This window comes from Homo sapiens, chromosome 20 (genome assembly GCF_000001405.40).
Source record: "Homo sapiens chromosome 20, GRCh38.p14 Primary Assembly".
NCBI classification, from domain to species: domain Eukaryota; kingdom Metazoa; phylum Chordata; class Mammalia; order Primates; family Hominidae; genus Homo; species Homo sapiens.
In genome coordinates this window covers 9,984,936-10,008,322 of record NC_000020.11, presented here as the reverse complement: position 1 = coordinate 10,008,322, position 23,387 = coordinate 9,984,936, and the positions used below count along the sequence as shown (strand labels likewise).

At 36.8% G+C, this 23,387-nt stretch overlaps 1 long non-coding RNA gene across 1 annotated transcript; it reads right to left on the bottom strand.

The window, feature by feature from the left end:
* Positions 1–1,206: 1,206 nt before the first annotated feature.
* On the bottom strand, positions 1,207–21,990 carry PARAL1 (PPARG activating RBM14 associated lncRNA 1). Its single transcript, NR_109861.1, has 2 exons — positions 21,804–21,990; positions 1,207–1,810 (listed from the first exon to the last, which is right to left on the bottom strand). It is a non-coding gene; the product is annotated as a PPARG activating RBM14 associated lncRNA 1 (long non-coding RNA).
* Between the last annotated feature and the right edge of the window lie 1,397 nt (positions 21,991–23,387).

Here is a 23,387-nt window from a genome sequence, read left to right as displayed (position 1 = left end):
CCCGTGAGAACTCACTATCATAAGAACAGCATGAGGGTAACGACCCCCATGATTAAATTACCTCCCACCAGGTCGCAGCTCTAACACATGGGAATTACAATTCAGATTACAATTCACAATGAGATTTTGTGTGGGGACACAGCCAAACTATATCACCTGGCTTCTTCCACTCCCTAACTAGTATTACCAGATCTTTTCTCTCTGTGGGTGCTCCTTTCTCTGACTATTGTCCAGAAGGGACAAATATGGTCCTGTGCTCATTATTTCAAGAACAATAGATTTGCATCAGACTCATGTGCTTCTGAGAAATGATGTCGAACCACTCTTGCGTTGTAGCTCACATCCTCTTGGCCACATTTTTACAGCAACCAGCTTTGTGATAGTGTCACTGCCAGCACCTTGCATCAGCTGCAGCACTTATCTCTTGCTTCTCTGTTACCATCTGTTAAGATGCCTTCTGCAAACTACTCAGCCATTCTGAAGCAGGTGCAATCTTTGAAGTCCACGGTCGTGAACAGCCTTTCGGCCAACATGACCAATGGTAGAAGACAGTCAATGGATCATCCCTTCTCTCATTTGTCTTTCTGGTGGACAATTTTGAAGTGTATTCTGTGTAGTTTCTCAGAGTGTCCCCTGGAGACCTGTGTCTCATTTGCTCACAGCATTGTTTAGATTAACACATCTTCTTGATTTTACTTTTTCCTGCATGTACACTCTTGTGTCCAACCCAAGTTTCTGGGGAACACTATGCTGTTTGGGTCCACATTTCCCTGTTTCTCCCTTCCTAGTGGCTCCTCACACAACCCTGGACCAATTGCTCTGACATCAACATGGTCTCCATCTTGCCTTAAAATGAACAAAGGGGTAAAGATTTAAAAATGAGAATCTTGCTGCTAACTGCTCTGAAGGTATTAACCACGTGTAAAATTTTGAACAAATGTTTATAACTCTAACTTGTTGAATACTTGTTGACATACTTGTTGAATTTGTTAAATTTTAAAAAACTTACTGATTGTAATTGTTGAATTTTTGAGAACCCTAATTCTTCCTCAAAATTGGTCCTTCATTCATTTCCACTTTTCTTTGGAATGTACGGTATTTACAACCATGGCTGCAGATTTTTTGGGGGTTGGTTATTGATTCAGAAAAAATGCTTATTAATATGTCATTTGGGCAGGCACTATAAAGAATATAGAGTGACTAAAATGCAGTTGCTAAAATACAAGGATAATTTAATGATGAAATAGGAAAAGCTTTACAAATAACCAGAGCAAGTGAAATACAGAGTATGATCAGCATAATGAATAAAGTGTTGACATAATACATAATACATGAAGTCCTAATACATAATGTTATGGTGACAAGAGAAGCCCATCTGGTCAGAAGCATAGACTACACACTGTTTTTCAGTTGGCTCATGAAGGATGCTCCTCTTGGGCTGTGCTGAGACTAGCAAAGACAATTGGTGAGCTTTTTTTTTGTCACAATGACAAAAATGTTTGTATTTGGTTGGCTAAGACATTTTGAAGCAACATTTTTCAATTTAATTCTTGAGAACATTTTGATGGCTCGCTCTCGACATCTCAAGCTCCAAGGATATTTCAACAAGTTTCTGTGCTATGTCATCAAACAGCATGTTTCTCCTCTCCAAGATTGAGCTTTTAAGAGTTACGGAGTCTACTTTTCCTGAGGTCGTGAAGTCCTAATACATGTACTTTTGAAGCATGATGACTCTTCATGCCTCCTGGGTATTTCTGCTTCTTTATGAGAATTTCATTGTTATTCATGTGTAGATGACAGTTTGAATGACCTAGAAAGAACAAAACATAAAAGTAATGATTACATAATTCCTGCCATCCCTAATTAACTATGTTTTATTTTCTAAGAGCTGCAGATGTTATATTACTCATAAAAGTCTGTTCATGTATTATTTATGCCACACGAATAAAATGTTTGTTAGCTTGAAACACTTAAGCAAATTCTCTGGGTTTCTTTAAATTAAAAAAGCAGTATGAAGTTATATTAGCCTTGTGTCTTTTGATTTTCTGTATTCTGAAAGGCTTGACATCCAGGGCCTTGCTCCTGCCTCACAAGGTTCACTAATTCCTAGAAATAGTAAGTCAACAACTCTCCTGCTAGCAAAACTTTCAAATGCAAACCAACCAATTCAGAGCCCAACCACTTCCTTATCAGGTCCTCCTCATACACCAGTATCTCCACCTGCCCAAATCTCCCCAGGTACCAGACAAGGAAGGATAAGCCCTGTGCTCAATACTATTTTTACAAGATAAGCACTTACATATTTCACAATAAGTCTAAGAAAAACTTGGAAAGAACAAATATCAAGCTCTGAACAGCGGTGACCTCAAGGGCAAAGGATTAGAGAACAAATTTTTGAGTTCTCCCTTTCATAGGATTTTTTTTTAATGTGAGAATATAGCATGTTTTTATTTTTAAATTTTCCCTACTTTCAAATTTTAAAAAGTATAAAGAGAACCGGTGAAATTAGTTTACTTAAGCACATACTTCATAGCTTTGTAAATATTTTTTATAAATCCTCCAGAGTTTCAGTCTCCTTTCTAAAATAAAATGAATACAATTAAAATGAAATTTTCTCCTTGTAATTATGCCAATGAGATTGATAAAAGGCATGAATTTGGTGGGGAGGAGGAGCGTGCGTATTATGGTGCCAAGTTGGGAAGAAGGAAGAACACGGAATTCTACCCTATTTTTTCATTTTAAATTAATGCCATTTGGAAGGGAGGGGGGCAATAACATTGAGGGAAGAGACACCATACTGTGTTTTCTTTGATTTGAGGGGCATAAATTGTAAGTAAATAAATACCATCTTAAAAGCTTTTTATGGCACTCTTTTGAAAGACATATTTGAGAGCTCTATATATTGTCTTTCTCCCCTCACCCCCACCTGTCCCTCCAGGGATCTTTGACTTTTAAGGTTTTAGGAAATAAGGCACTGAGAAAAATGAGAAAATAAGAATACTGAGCCAGGATCATGATTCAAATAATTTAGTGAGAGCCTTAAACAAAATTAAGAAGTAACCAAAATGAAGAAAACAGAATGAAAAAATGACCAAACTGGGTTAAACATTTGGATGTATTTTTAGTGTTTATTTTCAAGGATTCAAGTGGTATTATCTTTCAACCCTGCAACTTCCCACTGTGGCTGCATGTGAAAGTATGTGGCGATTACATCTGGAACAGGATGAGGCCTGCTATAAATGTGAGGCCTGAACCCTGCCCCTCACCCTCCCCATGGCAGGCACTGATGGACTCACTAATTCCTCCACCACTGAGAAACACAGAGTGGAAGCAGTGAGTTCACTGTGCTATGCATGTGCTTAGAAAATGTCCCGTATTCATTTCCATATTTCTTATGATAATTAGGCAAATTTTATCTCACTTTCATGAAGTAATAAATTTAAAATGAAATTAAATGAAATAAAATATTCTTATCTGTTGGAGAAGCTGTAAGCAAAACCCAAGAGAAACTGCTACACACTTTCTTGTGTGGGGTCAAGGCAGTGCAGTGAGGAAGAGATGAATGCATAAAGTATTTTTACTTTTTAAAACACTCGCCTATGCTGTATAAGTGTCTCTAGCATAGTGTCTACTAAATGGACATGCACCTGATAAATGAATATTGATTGAAAAGTTAAATGAACAAATACATGATGCAATTTTGGGGAGGAGGGGATCATTTTGTTAGCCTTCCAAGAGGACTGAAAATTCATGTTGAAGTAGGTTATTAAAATATTATTGTAAGTACTATGTACTTGTAGGGAATTCATTATTTCTATTGGTTATCAAAAAAAGCTGCATTAGTTATCATGACAGACAAACAGATCAGCATGGCCATGTTATGATTCTTTTTTTTGGCAACATTAAATGCTTCTGTTTCTCTCATTACTTATTGGGAACCCGAATGTGGTCATATATATCCATGTGCTAGATAAAATGATGGATGACCTGTGGTATTTGAAACTGGCTTCCTTCAGCTGTGATCGTATAGTGGTTAGTACTCTGCATTGTGAAACTGGGGTTCTTCAATCAAACTTAATGGGAAAATCTTATTACCACTCATAATAGAACATTATTCCCTTTACAAAGATATTAACCTTGATGCTTTGATCTAAAAATATTTAAGTATTTAATTTTTAATGCAATTCTCTTAACATTTAAAAATAATCTATGACATGCTAGGTGTTACAGATTTCTAAAACAATGAAACATGGCCCTGACCTTGTGAAGCTTGGGGTTTAGTGGGGGAGTCAGGGCTATATATACCATCACAATACACAATAGTGCTATACTTAGGGGTATGAACAAAACAATATTAACTCACAGAGGTGGTGATGACATAGGAGTTAAGAAAAAATTATTTAGGCAGATAGTGAGGGTACGAGAGTCCTTGGTAAAGTTTTCCTTTTAATGAAAAGCAGCCCCCAAATCATTTTCTTTTCTAACAAAGAGCAGCCTGTAAAATAGAGCTGCAGACATAGACAAGAAAGCTGGAAGCTTGCACAGGTGAATGCCAGCAGTTGTGCCAAGAGGAAAAGGCTATCTGGGACTAGGCATGTGCAAAATGGCGACTCCATGTTCCCTTCTTTTGCCAGCTACGTGTACAGTAAGGAGCAGACAAGTTGGCCCTGGCCAAGTGAAAAACCCATTTGCATAATAAGATTAGGGTGGGGTGGCCAGCCTTCCCTGTGCGCTATATAAACATCACATCTGGTCCAACCAATCTGTGGGCCCTAGTAAATCAGACACTGCCTCCTGAAGCCTGCCTATAAAATCTGGTGCAGTATGCCACAGGCTGGTTTTTCCCTTTCGGGAGCCCCTCTCTCACGAGAGAGAGAGCTATTCTCCTTTCTCTTTCTTTTAGCTAGTAAACCTCCACTCCTAAACTCCCTTGCCCTGTGTGTCCATGTCCTTAATCTTCTTGGCGGAGAGACAAACCTTGGGTATTTACCCCAGATAATGACACAGCTTCAGTGAGGTCACTAAAAAGGAGAAATTTTAGTTTGAACTTTTTTATTTATTTATTTTTAGTTTCAATCTCTTTTAGACTTCACTGGATAAAAAAGAGAAGAAATGAATAAGTGAATAAATAAATGTCCTGCCTCTAAGAGACAGCAAGGGCAAAGGCAGAGAGGAATTTAAAAACATGGTATCACAGCACATTCACTGTGCAGTAGCTGGAAATAGAATACAAATCATGCATTGCTCTTCAATGTCAAATTACTGAAGGCCATATGGTGTCTATTTGGCTTGTGTAAACTGCACTTTCAAATACAAGAAACAAAACAAATTGTATTTCAAGTTATTTGCTTCTTTCTTAAGGAGGAATCTACCTACCGTTTCTAATCTCCTTGTCTAGAGGGAACAAACAGGTTTGCATCAGCAGCTATTCTGTTGGTGTAATATGCATGTCCAAAAATAGCACCAAATCAAATAGTTTTAATCCTCAATTTTGTTAAATAGCTGGATATATTGGATATTTTTCCAAAATAAATCTAAATAAATATTGAAAAACTAATAAATATACCAACATGGTATACTTTAGAACTATGAGTGATAGTACGTCAGGTAGCCAGGCAAGTGTAGAAACAGATGTTGCCCAGCACAAGGTCTCTGGGTCTGTTTCTTCCAATCTCCACCCATCATCACTCTGGCTTGACTCCTTGATCATCAGCCTTTGTGTTCTACTCATGATTGTGCCCTTTATTCTTCATTTTTATTTATTTATTTATTTATTTATTTATTTATTTATTTATTTATTTATTTATTTTGAGGCGGAGTCTCACTCTGTCGCCCAGGCTGGAGTGCAGTGGCACAATCTCGGCTCATGGCAACCTCTGCCTCCTGGATTCAAGCGATTCTCCTGCCTCAGCTTCCCAAGTAGCTGGGACTACAGGCGCCCACCACCACACCCGGCTAATTTTTTTTTTTTTTGTATTTTTAGTAGAGATAGGGTTTCACTGTGTTAGCCAGGTTGGTCTCGATCTCCCGACCTTGTGATCTGCCCGCCTTGGCCTCCCAAAGTGCTGGAATTACAGGCATGAGCCACTATTCTTTATTTTTTTTCCATTTGCCTTACTACAAATAAATATATAATCTAATTTCCCAATAAGCCTATATTTTAAAAAAATCAAATTTGGACATACAGACAGTTCAGAAAGGAATAAAACTAAAAAGGAACTTCGCTCCTTTCCCTGCCAAGTTTCCTTCCCAAAGCGGTAAGTGGTATCAATTTCTTGTGATTGCTTCTAGGAAGCGAATGTGTAAATATGTGTTACATTCTGTGACTGGGGTCAATCCTGGGAATTCTGTTTTTCAATACAATCCTCAATATTAGGAAAAATTTCCAATTTATTTGTAGTGTGCAACATACTTTCTTTGGGTAGTTTCAGGTTCCTCTCTGTTTTTGGTTACTCTTCATTTTCAAATTTTAATATTCTGTTTTCTCCTTTTGGTGACTAGGTTCATTAGCAAGTTACTTATAGTTACTAATCTGCCCTTAGTTGCTTATTTTCAATCTATTTACCCACTTTCTGTTTCCTAATTAATTTTGCTTTTATTATTTTCTTCCCTTTTTTAGGTTTATTTTGTTATTATTTTCTAACTTTTGGTCTTGAGTAGCTAAATTTTTTTGTTTTTATTCTTTCCTACTAGTTATATAGATATGCAAGGCTATATATTTTTCTCTGCTTTTAATTTCTAATATTTATTGTTTTAATTATAATAATTTCTAAATACTTTGCAATTATAATTTTGATTACTTGTTTGATCTTTGACATTTATGGGAAGAAAATTGCAAATTTCAAGGTGGTTGTAGATTTTCTCCCTGATTTTTGTTATTATTTTTTATGTCTTGTATGTATTCCTGTGTGCATCAAGAATGTAGTCTGTACTATTTCTGCTTTTCCCCTAATATACAGCCAATTGCTTTATAAATATAAGTGATTAAAGTGAAGTATATTCTATAAGACTATAGAATTTAATATATTTTTATTACTTTAGCTTCAATTATTTTGTTCAGAATTTCAAATTTTTTCTTATCTGTATCTGTTTTTTCCTAGCATTTCTTGAAATTTACGATTTTGTCATTGTTTTTGCTATGTTATTTATTGCTACCTTATTATTTAAGTAAATGCGTGTTATAAATGTTTCATCTTTATGTGTTTAAACTCTTTTAGACTCTTCCTTGAATTCAAACTTCTCTGACATTAGTATCATACTTTCAAATTTGTATTTATACTTTCCTGGTCTGGATTTGTTTAAGCTTTGAAAGTTTTTACCCTTTCAGAATTTCTCTATATTATCCATGTTTTATAGGATATGTGTTCGCTACTTTTTTTTTTTTTTTTTTTTGAGATGGAGTCTCGCTCTGTCGCCCAGGCTGGAGTGCAGTGGCGCGATCTCGGCTCACTGCAAGCTCCGCCTCCCGGGTTCACGTCATTCTCCTGCCTGAGCCTCCCGAGCTACTTTTTAATTTAATTTGTGAAAATTTTCTATTCATTTTAATGTATACCTTGACATGTTTGAGAGCAAAGTTACATTTAGACTTAGTTCTGTCATCTTGACATCTTTTCTGCTTTCAATACTATATGTTCAATTGAACTTTTAAATCTGCAAACTAATATTCGTTTTAGTTATTTTTTTTTTCATTTGGACTCCCGCTTTTGGTACTGGCAGTGCTATTTGAACAAAATATTTTGCTACTTTATTTTTACTACTTCTTACTTGTACCTTTTTTCACTATTTACTTTTTACTATGTACAAATTTACTAGTTAGCTAGTCTAAGGTATAGGACAACAAGACAGGAAATTGATTTGCTTACTTAATTCAAACACATTTTATAGGAGTTTCGATAAATGTGCTTAAGCCAATGAATTATCTCACAACTACAAAACCACTGTAAGTTTGATTAAATCTAGCATGAAAATAGCAGTTTCTGTGGGGGGAAAAATAAAAATTTTTTAGAAAGCACTGAGATATTCTAAAAAACACTGCACCCTCAGCATGAGTTGGCACAACTCAAAAGCAGTAGCTAAGAATCATAAGTAGATATTACTGCTTATAAGCTTATGGGCCAGCTGGATGTTCCTGTGATCTCACCTGGACTCCCTCATGCATATGTGGTTCACTGTGGGTCAGGTATGCAGCTCTGCTAAACTCGGGGGTCTCTCTCCATGTTTGGGAGACGGGTGGCTGTAGCTGGTCCAGGCTGGGCTCCCCAGGGATGGTTGTGATCTGCTCTTCATGTGCTCCCATCCTCTAGCTATCTTCTGGAACTTGTTCCCAAGATGCTGGCAGGACTCCAACAGAAAGGGAGCAGAAGTGCCAGGTCCCTTGAGACCCAGGCTCAAATCTCTATTGGCCTTGCCAAGTCCAAAGGCCAGCCCAGATTCAAAAGGTGGAGAAACAGATGCCACCATCCTCTGCAGGGAGGAGTTAGTTGCACAGTCACATTGTCAAGACCACAGATGATTGAGGAACTGAAACCCTTTGGCAGCGGGCTCTCCATATGCTACTACTTGGAATTAGAATCCTTTTGTCTTCATGCTACCCTCTCCTTGACTCATGCAGCCCAGGCCTTCTCAGGGCCTGGAGCATTTTTCATTAACAGGAAGACTATTTCATCATGTAAAAAAGATGGAATGAAGTCTGCTGTGTGGCAATTCATTTGGGGGCTCTTATTAATGTGTTGTTCTGTGACCTATGTCAATATGTTCACTTTGAAGTTTCAAGATGATCTCCACCCTAGGATAACTGAAAATGTTTACATACCAATTTATGAACTTTGCAAAAGACTATACTTTTCAAACTAAAGACAAAATTGTTGGAGAAAATTTATATTTATTCACATTTGTATTTTATATTAGTGTTTATAAAACACTAATACGTTTAAGAAAGATGGATTTTATATATAGCTGCTCATTGATTTTATTATAGTCATGTTCATTTTCAGGGATGGTATTTCTCATTGAATGATTAATTTATATCTCTGAGATCTGTGATATATAAACACAGTTCCATGATTCCACAGCATTTATGTTTGTATTATTTTTCTCGATCATACTGTAAGTACTCTCCAGTTAAATGAATCTAGCTGTAAAGAATATAACACCTAGAACTAAAAAGTCTTTCCAAATACATTGCCTAAATTTGGCAGGCTTACTTCAGAAACATAGTCTTGTTTTTTTTTTTTTTTTTTTTTTGTTGTTGTTGTTTTGAGACAGAGTCTCGCTCTGTCACCCAGGCTGGAGCGCAGTGGTGTGTGATCTCAGCTCACTGCAACCACCACCTCCTGGGTTCAAGTGATCTTCCTGCCTCAGCCTCCCGAGTAGCTGGGACTACAGGCACGTGCCACCACACCCAGCTAATTTTTGTATTTCTAGTAGAGACGGGATTTCATCATGTGGGCCAGGGTGGTCTTGAACTCCTGACCTCAAATGATCTGCCTGCCTCAGCCTCCCAAAGTGCTGGGATTACCGGCATGAGCCATTGCGCCCAGCCTAAATCTTGTTATAAAATAAATCTGTGATTGGCTCTTTTGAACTTGTCAAAACTACCAATGACATGAAATCATGGGTTTTCACAGAGATGTTATTAAATAAAATTGCTAAAGATCAAAATCCAAGATGAAAAATAAATCCAGGATATATGTCTCAATCATTTATTTCTTTTCTTTTCAGCAAACCATTCACACATAAAATGAAATGGAGAATTTTAGCAATCCTAAGTATTTTAACAGGGCTACTTTATTGAATTTTAGTAAGTCTTGAGATATTTATTGAGATAATTATCACGTATAATAAAAATGAGGAAAAAATTACTTGATTCAATGAGATATTTCTTTTTTTTAATTCATTCTTTTTTAATGATTATTATTATTATACTTTAAGTTTTAGGGTACATGTGCACAATGTGCAGGTTAGTTACATATGTATACATGTGCCATGCTGGTGTGCTGCACCCATTAACTTGTCATTTAGCATTAGGTATATCCCCTAATGCTATCTCTCCCCCCTCCCCTGAGATATTTCTTTTGTGGTCAATATCTATTAGGTGGTGGTATGCAATGGAAATTTTGAAACAATTATTGTGTCCCGAATGATTCATTAAATGATTAGCTAATTGATCATATTTATTATAATCTATTTCAGTCGATGGTCTCTAAGGACAAGAATTAATGTAGGAATGCCATTAGCCGTTTATAAATGAAAATTTTTGCTTTATTCTTAATGACAACTGACTACTAGCTAAAGACAAAGTAAATTAAATAAGTAAACAGTAGAAAAAAACTAGAATATATAGGGACTGTAGTCTAGACAAATTACAGTTATGTAATTTCAAAAGTGCATAACAATGTTTTAGTCAACAACCACATATATGATGGTGGTCCCATAAGATCAAAATGAAGCTTAAAAATTCCTATCGTCTAGTGAAATCGTAACCATCACATCATCACAGCACAATGCATTACTTGTGTTGTTTGTGGTGATGCTGGTGTAAACAAAGCTACTGTGCTGTCGGTCATATGGAAGCATAGCACATACAATTGTGTGCAGTACATAATAATGTATAATAATAATAAATATGTTACTGATTTATGTATTTACTATACTAGAGTTTTTGTTGTTACTTTAGGGTATGCTCCTTCTACGTATTAAACAAAAAGTCCATTGTAAAACATCTTCAGGCAAGTCCTTCAGGAAGTATCCAGAAGTAGGCATAGTTACCATAGAAAATGACAGCTCCATACATGTTATTGACCCTGAATATCTTCCAGTGTGCAGGCGGAAAACAGTGATATTGATGATCCTGACCCTGTGTAGGCCTAGGCAAATGTATTGTTTATCTCTTAGTTTTCAACAGCATAAAAATGAAGATAGATATAAATTTTTTTCAAAAAATATGGATATAAAGAAAATATTTTTGTACAGTTGTATGTTGTTTGTATTTTAAGCAAAGTATTATTTTTACAGAGTTGAAAAGTTTTAAAAATTAAAAATGTTTAAGTTATAGTAAGCTAAGGCTATTAATGAAGAAAATTATTTTAAATAAATTTAGTGTAGCCTAAGTGTACAGTGTGTATAAAGTCTACAGTGTACAGTAATGTCCCAGGCCTTCACATTCACTCACCACTCCCTCACTGACTCAGCCAGAGCAACTTCTAGTCCTGCAAGCTGCATTCATGGTAAGTGCTCTTTACTGGCATACCATTTCTTATCTTTTATACCATATTTTTACTGTACCTTTTCAAAGTTTATTTATGTTTAGATACCTCTGTGTTACAATTGCCTGCAATGTTGAGTATAGTAACATGCTGTACCGGCTTACAGCCCAAGAGCGATAGACTACACCATATAGCCTAGGCGTGTAGTAGGCTATACCATCTAGGTTTGTGTAGTACACTCTATGATGTTTGCACACAATGATAAAATCACTAAACAATACATTTCTCTGAGTGTATCCCCCTCTTTAAGTGACATGTGACTTTGGTTGTATAAATAAGGATATCTATTTTATAATTAATATTTTGAATTGTGTTTTCTGATAGTATCTCACGTAATCAACACAGCAACCCATTAGTCAGTTCAGGCAAGCTTTACTAAGTAACTATATAGACTTGTGAGTTTACATGACTTGACCTGAGTTCAGAGCCAGTCTGTGGTGGACTCATTTTACTTGTACCAAAGCCCCTGTTCTCTCTACCAAGACAGTACTACATTTGGCCTCATCTGTGTGCACTTCTGGGAGAGCTTAGCCATTATCAGGGATGATGGAGGTAGAGAAAGAAACTCAAAGAACATATCATGGAACAATTTCCAGCCTTGAAAAATGGCCATAGAAAGAACTCGGTTTACAAACAATTCTTTCCAGTAAATGGACCTGATCTCTGTTCAATGGAAGTCATAAAAAAAACTCAACAATTTAAGAACATGGACTTCAAATCCTATATCAAACTTCACCCAGGCAATGTTAAGCCTTCATTTTATTTTACATAAAATAAAAACTGTTTAATAATTTTAGCAATGTTATTGATTATGAAAAATGTTATTCTGTTACATTTTATGGGTATATTATATTATTGTTCATCAAATATGTATTCACCACTCCCCTCCGTGACTTCTATAGACAGCATGCACTTCTTTGCCCCACTGATGCTGGGCCCAGTCACGTGACTTTCTTTGGCCCATGGAACATAACCCAAAGTGACAATGTGCCAACTCCAAGCCTACACTGTAAAAGTCAACATGTTTGCCTATGTCCTTCTTGTGCTCCAGCCATCCATCACAAAGAGAAGATCATGCCTCACATAGCTGCCAGTTCAAGAAGGAAGAGGGACCTGTGGACGAGGCATTGGGCCCAACCTGCAGCTTGGAGCCCAGACTAGCCACATTTAGTTTAGGTCAGCTGAATCTCAGCAATGCACAGTGAAATCATTGGTAATAAGGCTGGAAAGATAGTGTCTAGAAAACTAAGAATACCAGATTAAGTTATTCACAGTTACTCTATTTTAGGTGAGTGAGAGTTATTACAAGTCTTTGAGCATAAATTTTGCCAAGATTATTCTGGCAACAATGTGTAGGGCATAGGGCCAAGACTTCAAATGGAGTTTACTTCTATAGCTCCCAGAGAAGAAATAAACCATGCCTTTAGTTTGATGCTAGGACTTTGAGAATGCATGAGGCAATATGAAGAATAAATGGGCTTTGGGAAGAACTCATGCTTGGAAATTTACAGCATAATGGCTTAATACCCAACAGAAATAATGAACCTGAATCTCTGAGAATATGTTTGTCACCTAGTTCAGGAGTCTCCCATAAGAACAATCACATAGTAAATATTCTGCAATTGTTTTCTGTTGTCTTTACTTTGGTATCTCTTGATAAGAACCTTCAGGTTAGGCTTTCAGGTCATTGTTGTGTTTTTATATTTGAATGATCTTCATAAGAATTAACTGCCATTAAGCATCAAATGAATTATTGACTTACCTTGTTCAAGACTGAAAGCAAATCTGATAAATGTGCTACTGAATTGTTATGAATTGTTTTTAATTTATCTCAGAACATACTGTACTTATTTGTAGGATTTCATGGTGTGGCTTACTAATATTGAATTCTTCATTATGAAAAGCTAGCTAATCAATGTAAATATACTATGGCTTGAGTGTGTCTCTCAAGATTCATGTGTTGGAAACTTAATCCCCCATGGCAACAGAGTTTGGAGGTGGGGCCTAACAAGAGGTGATTTGGTCATGAGGGCTCTGCTGTTATAAATGGATTAATGTCATTATTGTGGGAGTAAATTAGTTACAAAAGTAAGTTTGGCCACCTCTCTCTCTTGCTTTCATGCTCTTTTGCCCTTCTACCTTCTGCCAAGGAATGATGTAGCATGAAGGCCTTCACAAGATGCTGGCACCATGCTCTTGGACTTCCCAGCCTCCAGAACCATGAGCAAAATAAACAATTTTTTCTAAACTACTCAGTCTCAAGTATTCTGTCATAACAACACAAAACAAACTAAGATAAGATACTTCATGGTCATCAGTGCCAAGAACAAACCAAATGATCAGACTAATATAATTCAATGATTGAGAAACTAGGGCAGTAGTTTTCAATTCTAGCCACACATTACAATCACTTGGTGATGTTTTTAAAATCTCCATGTCAGGGCTTTACCCTAGAACCAAAATCTATTATTTTTAAATAGCTTGCTGGGTGATTTTATTATGCAGCCATGGTTGAGATTGGGCATATATGTCCTATACAGTTTTTAAAAGCCAAATAATCTGGATAGTTTACCTATACGAAATACCCCCTGTGAAGACCATCATTCCCCATAGCCTAGTTTTTATAATCAGGCAAAAAAATAAATTGTATATATATAATTCTATATGTAATTCAATTACATAATTGAATTATACCTATATAGATATCTGTTATATCTGTATGCAGATATAATTATATTGTCTATATTATTATCTGCAATTATATTATCTATATAATTATATTATAGATAATATAATTATCTATATAATTATATTATAGATAATATAATTATCTATATACATAGATATAACAGATATCTATGTATATAGATAGATATATTTATATCTACATATATATAATACATGTATAATGAGATTAACCCAACACAAAAAATGGAACAAATGTGGGAGGTGGACAAAACCACAATTATTGGGTGGAAATTGTGCTCTGAGTGCTTCAAGGTAACTGGTTTTCAAAACGAGTAATTTTTTTTTAAGAAAAATAATTTTATAGATGTCAACACAGCTGGCTGGATTATTGGGATTTTTAAACGATCCTCTTTAAAGGCAATTTGGAGACCTGTCCTGTATATAACAGCACTGTAGCAATAAATGTGACATTTTATAATGATAAAAAAATGCCAGGGCCAGGTTCAGTGGCTCACGCCTGTAATCCCAGCCCTTTGGGAGGCTGAGGCAGGCAGATCACTTGAGCTCAGGAGTTCAAGATTAGCTTGGGCAACATGGTGAAACCTTGTCTCTACAAAAGAGAAAAATACAAAAATTAGCAGGCCATGGTGGTGCACACCTGTAATGCCATCTACCTGTGGGGCTGAGGCAGGAAGATAGCTTGAACCTGGGAGGACGAGACTGTAGTGAGCCGAGATCACGCCATTGCACTCCAGGCTGGGTAACAATGTGAGACCCTGTCTCAAAATAATAATAATAATAATAATAATAATAAAAGCCAGAATATAATTGATCTACTTTCTTTTTTATTTTTCTTATTGTGTTCAAATATACAGAATATAAAATTTACTGTCTTAGCCATTTTTCAAGTGCATGATTCAGGGGCATTAAGTACATTCACATTGTTGTGTAACCATCACCACTGTCGATCCACAGAACTCTTTTTCTTCGGACAAAACTGAAATCCTGTACCCATCAAACAACAATGCCCTACTTCCCCCTTCCCCAGTCTCTAGCAACTACTATTCTACTTTCTGTTTCTATGAATTTGACAACTCTGTGTACCCCACGTAAGTGAAATTATATGGAAGTATTTGTCTTTTTGTGACTGGCTTATTTTATGTAACATAAAGTCTTCAGCTGGGTGCGGTGGCTCACATCTGTAATCCCAGCACTTTGAGAGTCTGAGGCAGGCAGATCACGAGGTCAGGAGATCAAGACCATCCTGGCTAACATGGTGAAACCCCATCCCCATCTCTACTAAAAATTTCAAAAAAAAAAAAAAAAGTTAGCTGGGTGTGGTGGTGCACACCTATAGTCCCAGCTACTCAGGAGGCTGAGGCAGGAGAATCACTTGAAACTGGGAGGCCGAGGGTTGCAATGAGCCGAGATTGCACCACTGCACTCCAGCCTGGGCGACAGACCGAGACTCCGTCTCAAAAAAAAAGAAAAAAAAAAGTCTTCAAGATTTATCCATGTTGCAGCATGTGTAAGAATTTCCTTCTTTAAGGCTGAATAATATTTCATTGAATGAATACACTATATTTTGTTTATACATTCGTTCATCAATGGACACTTTAATTTCTTCTGCCTTTTGGCTATTGTGAGTAATGTTGCTATCAACTTTGGTGTACAATATATATTTGAGACTCTGCTTTCAATTCTTCTTGATATATACCCAGAAGTGGAACTGCTGAATCACATACTCTACTTTTTAATTTTTGTGGAACCGCCATGCTCTTTTCCATAGTGGCTGCACCCATTTTATGTACACAAGAGTTCCAATTTCTCCCATTCTCAGCAAAACTTATTTTCTGCTGCTGTTTAAAAATAGAAACTACTCTAATGGGTATGAGGTAATATCTCATTGTGGCTTTTATTGAGCATCTTTTCATGTTATATTGTCCATTTGTATATCTTCTTTGAAGACATATCTATTTAAATCCTTTGACCATTTTTTAATCAGGTTTTTTATTTTTGTTGTTGTTGAGTTGTAGGAGTTCTTTATATATTTTGGATATTAACTCCTTGTTAGACATATGATTTGCAAATCATTTCTCCTATAATGTGGGCTGCCTTTTCACTATGTTGCTTGTGTCCTTTGATAAAAAGAAGTTTTTAATTTTGAAAAAAATTCTTTTTTTCCCTGTGTTTTTGATGTCATACCCAAAGAAACGAGTGAGAAATAGTTCAATTACTTTTAGCAAATTCTGTCTTATAAGTCAAATAAGATGATTTACAATGCAAAACAATTAGATTGCCTGGCTTGATTTTCTCATTCAAAACACAGAATATTAAAAATAAACAAAATTAAAGCTGGCAAACTCTGGGACTTTATTGAAACTTTAACTTTTGAAAAAGCATTACATTTTATTTGTTTAGTTAATTACTTTACCTGAGATTTCCAATTCATGTTTGGTTCATGGATGCTTTCAAACGCAAATAAAATGAGAACTCTTTTGAAGTCTACACCTATGTGTTACGTGTCTTTGTTTTGCCAAACCACCTGGCAGAGTTAATAGCAAAGCGTAGCTACTCAATATACCCTTAAAATCATATTAACCCAGGTGGGACTATTTGATAGTATTTACACCATATATTCATTTTATAGTTGAACAAATTGATATCTTGGGAGGCAAAATAATCTAAGTGATTAATACTGAGTACAAAATAGATACCTTGCTTGTACACAGAACAAAAATGCTTGGGTTTAGACGTTTAGATAGCCTGTCTGAACTAACAGGACAATGGATACCTGTGGGATGCAGGTATACATATCATGTTGTACTTTAATTGTGAGCAGGTAGTGCAAGAGGGACATGAAGATAAATGTCGGGTCCCCAAGAAAATTTATTCTGAGGGTTTATTCTTAGTCCTACAAGTGCTCCTGAAAACTCTCATCTTTTCCCTTGGGGGTTCCCACAAGTCATGCATCTCCCAGGTATTAGCAAAGTATAGTGACAGATGATGAGAAACCATGTGTGTAAATTGCCATCTTGGCCGACCAGGAGTCTTACTTTTTTTTTTTCCCCCTGAGACGGAGTCTTGCTCTGTTGCCCACACTGGAGTGAGTGCAGTTGTGCAATCTCGGCTCACTGCAACCTCCCCCTCTCAGGTTCAAGCAATTCTCCTGCCTCAGCCTCCCGAGTAGTTGGGATTACAGGTTCACACCACCATGCCCAGCTAATTTTTGTATTTTTAGTAGAGACAGGGTTTCACCATGTTGATAAGGATGGTCTCGAATTCCTGACCTCATGATCTGCCCATCTCGGCCTCCCAAAGTGCTGGGATTATAGGCGTGAGCCACCGCACCTGGCCGGCATCTCACTTTTAAACTCATTTTGTTTTATAACATTTACAGTAGTTTAGGACTTAAGGGGCCTTACAAGGCATTAGTTTTGCATGTCCTTCTTTTCAGACGGAGAAAAAGAGGCCAAAGGAGGCAATGACTTGATAGAAATAAACGGCCAGTAAGTGGTGTGGTCCAGATCCTAAAGGGACTCCCAGATCCAAACGCTTTTAATGTTATCCCTCTGTATTCATGGGGGATTGGCTCCAGGATCCCCAGTGGTGCCAAAATCTAAGGATACTTTAGTTCTTTATGTAAAATGGCATAGTATTTGCATTTAATCTATGCACATCCTCCTGTATACTTTAAGTAATCTCCTCCTGTATACTTTAAGCTAATACAGTGTAAATGCTATGTAAGTAGTTGTTATACTGTATTTTTAAAATTTGTATTATTTTTTGTATTGTTCTTTTTAAATTTTTTTGAATATTTTTTCATACATGGTTGGTTGAATTAACGAATGTGGAACCCATAGATAGAGAGAGCCAACTGTATATTGTTAGAAATGTCACCAGAGGCAAAAACAAAAAAGGAATTATAGATATGCATTCCAGGAACTGACTTTCTCTTTGTCTTCTAGAAGCTTGCTCACCCTCAGCCTTCCACAAAGCCAGAAAGTCTTTGGCTTCTTTTTTTTTTTTTAATACTTTAAATTTTAGGGTACATGTGCACAACATGTAGGTTTGTTATATATGTATACATGTGCCATGTTGGTGTGCTGCACCCATTAACTCGTCATTTACATTAGTTATATCTCCTAATGCTATCCCTCCCCCCTCCCCCCACCCCACAACAGGCCCTGGTGTGTGATGTTCCCCTTCCTGTGTCCATGTGTTCTCATTGTTCAGTTCCCATCTATGAGTGAGAACATGCGGTGTTTGGTTTTCTGTCCTTGCATAGTTTGCTGAGAATGATGGTTTCCAGCTTCATCCATGTCCTTCCAAAGGACGTGAACTCATCATTTTCTATGGCTGCATAGTATTCCATGGTGTATATGTGCCACAGTCAGAAAATCTTTGGCTTCTAACACTCTGACTCCCCCAAACCTACTGATAAAGCCATGAGGATCCTGAACATGGGGACTTCCTTACTGCAGCCTCAGGGCCCCTTTAGCTGAACCCACCAGAAATGCAATGGCTGGACTCTTTCCCAATTTTCTCCACTCTCAGCTACCTTTGATGAAAGGGGCTTCATTCTGTAAAGATTAGCATAGCTTGATACTGGAGGTATTCCTGTTGCTGTATTTACAAAAAATTGTATTGGCAAGATTGACAATTTTCTAAAATGCTCAAATTTATCTGACCTTACAAATAACATCCACTGGAAAATTATCAGACATCTGTGAGAGTCATTTTGGGTTGAATTAAATTTTTGATGTGCTGTGAAATTGGGTTAGTGCATTAGAATTACATTTTAATCGTTATGAATGCAGTCATGAAATGTTGTTCTTCCATGCAAATTGGCAACACTCCCAGACTTGAGGAAGCTTTGAAGAAATGAATTTCAAAATTCCTGATTAACAAATATGTACAAGAAGTCAGAAAGGACAAATCAAGAATTTTCTAATAATGTACACAATAAATTCTAGATTTATCTTACTATTATGATCTTAAATGGGTTATTTGCACTGAAAAAGGCAACATTATTCAATGCTTTGAGTAGAAGGCAGGAAATTTATAAAAGGAGAAGCTGATCTTTCTTCTTAGAGTTTGTGGTTCCAGTGAAGTCATTGTACTTAGTCAACAGTTTTCTGGATTGCTTAACAGAGTAAAAATAGGACAATGTGGAGACTCAGATTTCCACTGTATGTTATAAAGAACTTCTTAACAACACACTTCCTTATGAGGGAAAAAAATTCCATCTCATGCAGTATGGCTAAGCAGAAGTTGAACAACTATCTTTCAGGGATATTATAGAAGAGGGGTTTCCAATCTTTTGGCTTCCCTGGGCCACATTGGAAAAATAAGAATTGTCTCAGGCCACACATAAAATGCATTAACACTAATGCTAGCACATAAAATACACTAATACTAATGCTAGCTGATGAGCAAAAATTGCAAAAAAAAAAATTCGTAATGTTTTAAGAAAGTTTATGAATTTATGTTGGACCACATTCAAAGTCATCCTGGGCTGCAGGCAGCCCACAGACCGTGGGTTGGACAAGTGTCTTATAGAAAATATTGGATGAGAAGTGTACTAAATGACTCCCAAGACCCTTATGAATTTTAAGAGTGGGCTGGCGTAGTCCAAAAAATAGAGCCAATAGGTACCTGGGTTCCCTGGTTGAATCACTGATAAGTAATAAGTCTTAGAAATGAATTTTCACCTAACTGAATTTATAAGTTAGCAGTACTAAACTTACCTTTCTGGAACCCAAATAGAAGCTAAGGGAAAGACAGCTTTGGATGCAAAAGTAACTCAAGTGGAGCTGGAGGAACCTGGCAGGTTACACAAACTGAAACGCCTTGCAGGGCCAGCAGGTCCTCCGAAGCCAGGTATAAGACAGGAGTGTAGTGGAATTTGAGGGTCAGCTTCAGAAGATGTTCAAATGTGAAGCAATTTTGATTTCCTTTCTTATCAAATCATTGCCATCAACCCTAATCCTTTACATTAGGAACACATAGGAGATACACAAGAAAACCCTGGGGCAAATGGCCAAGACCACACAAGAAATCTTTGTTGGGGTCCAACCATGGCCCATCCCCAGTGAATGTTAGCACAGTAGAGTGTAGAGTTTTCTTCAGTATCTAAGAGCTTACACAAGGCAAAAGTGAATGTTCACCTTGGTATACCTCAATTTCATCACATCCTACATTCACATTGTGTCTCTTTTCCACCCTCCTCTTCCTTACCCCTACCCCTTAGTTCTTCCGGGGGATACCTGACTTCACCAGTGCCTCACATGCAGGACCTATGCTTCTGCCTCCTCTGAATCAAAATTTACCTAAATTATTCCTCATCCCTCTAGACCCTGTACATATGTTGTGGAGTGAATTAATGGCAAGATTTAAAGACAAACAGAAACATACTCTGGGTGCCTCTTTCATGATATTTGCATGGTAGTCAAGTTTTCTTAGAACTGAAAAACCATTTCATTAAATACCGGTTCCATAATTGTAAATTCCATGCAGGTAATCAGCAATTAAGGGCAATTTTTTTTCTTTTACTTTTTTTTGGAGGGGGGAATGGAATCTCACTGTTGCCCAGGCTGGAGTGCAGTGGCACGATCTTGGCTTACTGCAAACTCTGCCTCCTGGGTTCACACCATTCTCCTGCCTCAGCCTCCTGAGTAGCTGGGACTACAGGTGCCCACCACCACACCTGGCTAATTTTTTGTACTTTTAGTAGAGACGGGGTTTCACCGTGTTGGCCAGGATGGTTTCGATCCCCTGACCTCATGATCCACCCACCTCAGCCTCCCAAAGTGCTGGGATTACAGGCGTGAGCCACCGCGCCCGGCCAGGGCAATTGTTTATAAGGTATTCTTCCGTTGTGCATCCCCCATCCCACCAGGTAGGTCAGCCTCTCTACTTCTGTGCATAAACCTGGAAATGATGCAATGGAGATGATTTTAAAATCCCTTACTAAAATTTGTACTCATTCAACAACACTTAACCAGTTTCTTCTGTGGAGGAGCTATTGTACTCTTCAGCAAGTGGCATGACTGATCTATGGATAACATTATTATACTAAAGCAATTTTTTTTTCCTAAAATTTTATGCATTTATGGCCTCGGAGGCTAAGCCTATTATTTTTCCTTTATTGAGTATGATTTTGCTACATTTTGTAAGGAATTCATGTAAGTGTTATCTAACATTTAGACTGAAATGATTTTTCAGTTTGTTTGTAAGAAATACTTTTAAAAAGTTAAGAAGTCAGAAGTCTACAAGGCAATGGAGATGAAATATATAAACAAGGACTTGGTTTTAAGAGTTGTAATCACAACTGCTAAAATTAAATCAACTTACCAGAAGCTTCTGAAAACAAAAATATATGCAAATACCATAAAATATATGCATTTATACCACAAAAACCCAAACACAGGAACCTATGGTAGCCATTTTTTCTGTCAAAAACCAAGGCAAAACTGATTTGCTTCCACTGAACCAAAGCTGTGAAATAGAATAGGGATGATCAAAGCATGCATTTTCTCAAACTTTCTCTTCTACCAAACCTTTCAACCGAACTGTTAGAGAAGATTAAAACTGAAGTTTCATCCTCTTTTGCCCTTTGTCTAATCAGTACTTGGGAGAGAAAATAACATAGGTAGGATTCCTTGGTTTGCTGGGTAATTGAGACTCAGCTAAAAACAAAAACTTTTGCAGTATTTATAGACGATGACAACTCCAATTTTGAAAACTAGAAGGCAGTGATTAAAATAATTTGTTTTTCTCCTCTCATCTCAAGAATGCGTTTTACTTGTATTAAGGAGGAAAATGGAGGTCAATGTCCAATATGCTCACCTTAAAAAGTACCTCTTGGTCAGGTGGGTGCAGTGTTCTGGGAAGTCTTCACAAGCCTCCTCCACCTCAGAGAGCTCCTTGCTCTTTAGAAGAGAGGACCACTGTCCTTGGGCAGGAAAGACCCTTCTCCTACAGCTGGACAATGGACAGGAAGCAGCTTGGAGCTGACTTTCTCTGCGCCACCTGCCAAAGGCTCCTCAGTAGCATTGCTAGAATCCAGCGCCCAGATTCGGCGCTTGTTGAAGTCAAAGTTTTTTTTCCATCTCCCTTTTGAAAATATAGAAAATGACCGAGATGAAAAAAACAGTGGCAGCCATTAAATAAAAGATAACAAAAATGGCCAAAGCAAGCGTGAGATCCACAATGAAAATAATCAGTTTTGCCAACATGTTTGCATTTCTTCTCATTCACAGAATGCATTTCAAAAGTCCCAAAGGCATCTACCACGTGATTATGTCTTTATAAAATGTGGGCAGGAATAAGGACATTTCTAAACATGCTAAAGAGTGTTGTAATTCTTCCAAGTATCTACCAGGAAGGCTGGTTTAATGAAAGTTTTGATTTCCCAACTGGTACAAAACAGTGGCTAAAGGTAAAGTGTGGAATATTGCTTCACTGTGGGGACTCTAATGGGGAGAAGTCCAAGAATTTATTTCATCCCACAACTGTGTAATTACTGATTCACTTGGATTTTAATTTCCACAGGGTATAGACACACTAATGTGCATTTGTAGCATAAAAGGCTATTATAGATATCTGATGTTTCTTAGAAAATTAAAATGTGCCAGTCCAGTGTAAATGGAAAATAAAGCCATTTTCAGACATGCAAAGCTTCAGAAAGTTTATTTCTCTTGTGTATGTTTTTTTTAAAAGTTACTAGAGAATATAATTCAATAAATTATTGTGTTTGCTGAAAGGGAAAGACTTGGCATGTAAGAAACTGCAAATTTATCCAATAGAGCAATGAAATTAAATCCCAGAATCATAGCTCAGCAGCAGACATAGAAGGCAATAAATTCAAATTAGAAAAGGAACTTAGTGAGCTACCAGAGACAGTCTTTAAGAAGACAGTCACTTTCCTATGTTAAGTGGTATGATGAAAAGGCATGACAATCTAAAAATAAAATGGCCAGTATACATCTTAGTTAACAAGGTAAATGAAAGGTAATAAGAGAATTCAAGAAAAACCACAACATTGAATAATGAGCCATGATCCTCATATGAAACAAACTAAACTGAAGCACAATTCTGAGAAACTGATAGAATACAGGAAATGAGAATTTATTTGTCCTTAATATTCAACGTTTCTTCTTTAAGTAGCACAGATTGAGAGTGGGAGATTGTACTTCCAAAGGGTTCAATTACACTGCTTGATTGTACAATGAAATTGCCAGACTCATAATATTTCAAATACTGTCACATGTTTTACATTTCTAGAGACCTAAAACAAGACAAGAAAATTAAATTTATTAAAGTGATAGAACAGAATAAAAAGGTTATGAACCTTAACAATTTAAAAGTAATTATTATAGCTTGACAAAAGTTTGGAGGCATAGTGGGAGAGGTGGAGAGAAGTGAGGGAAT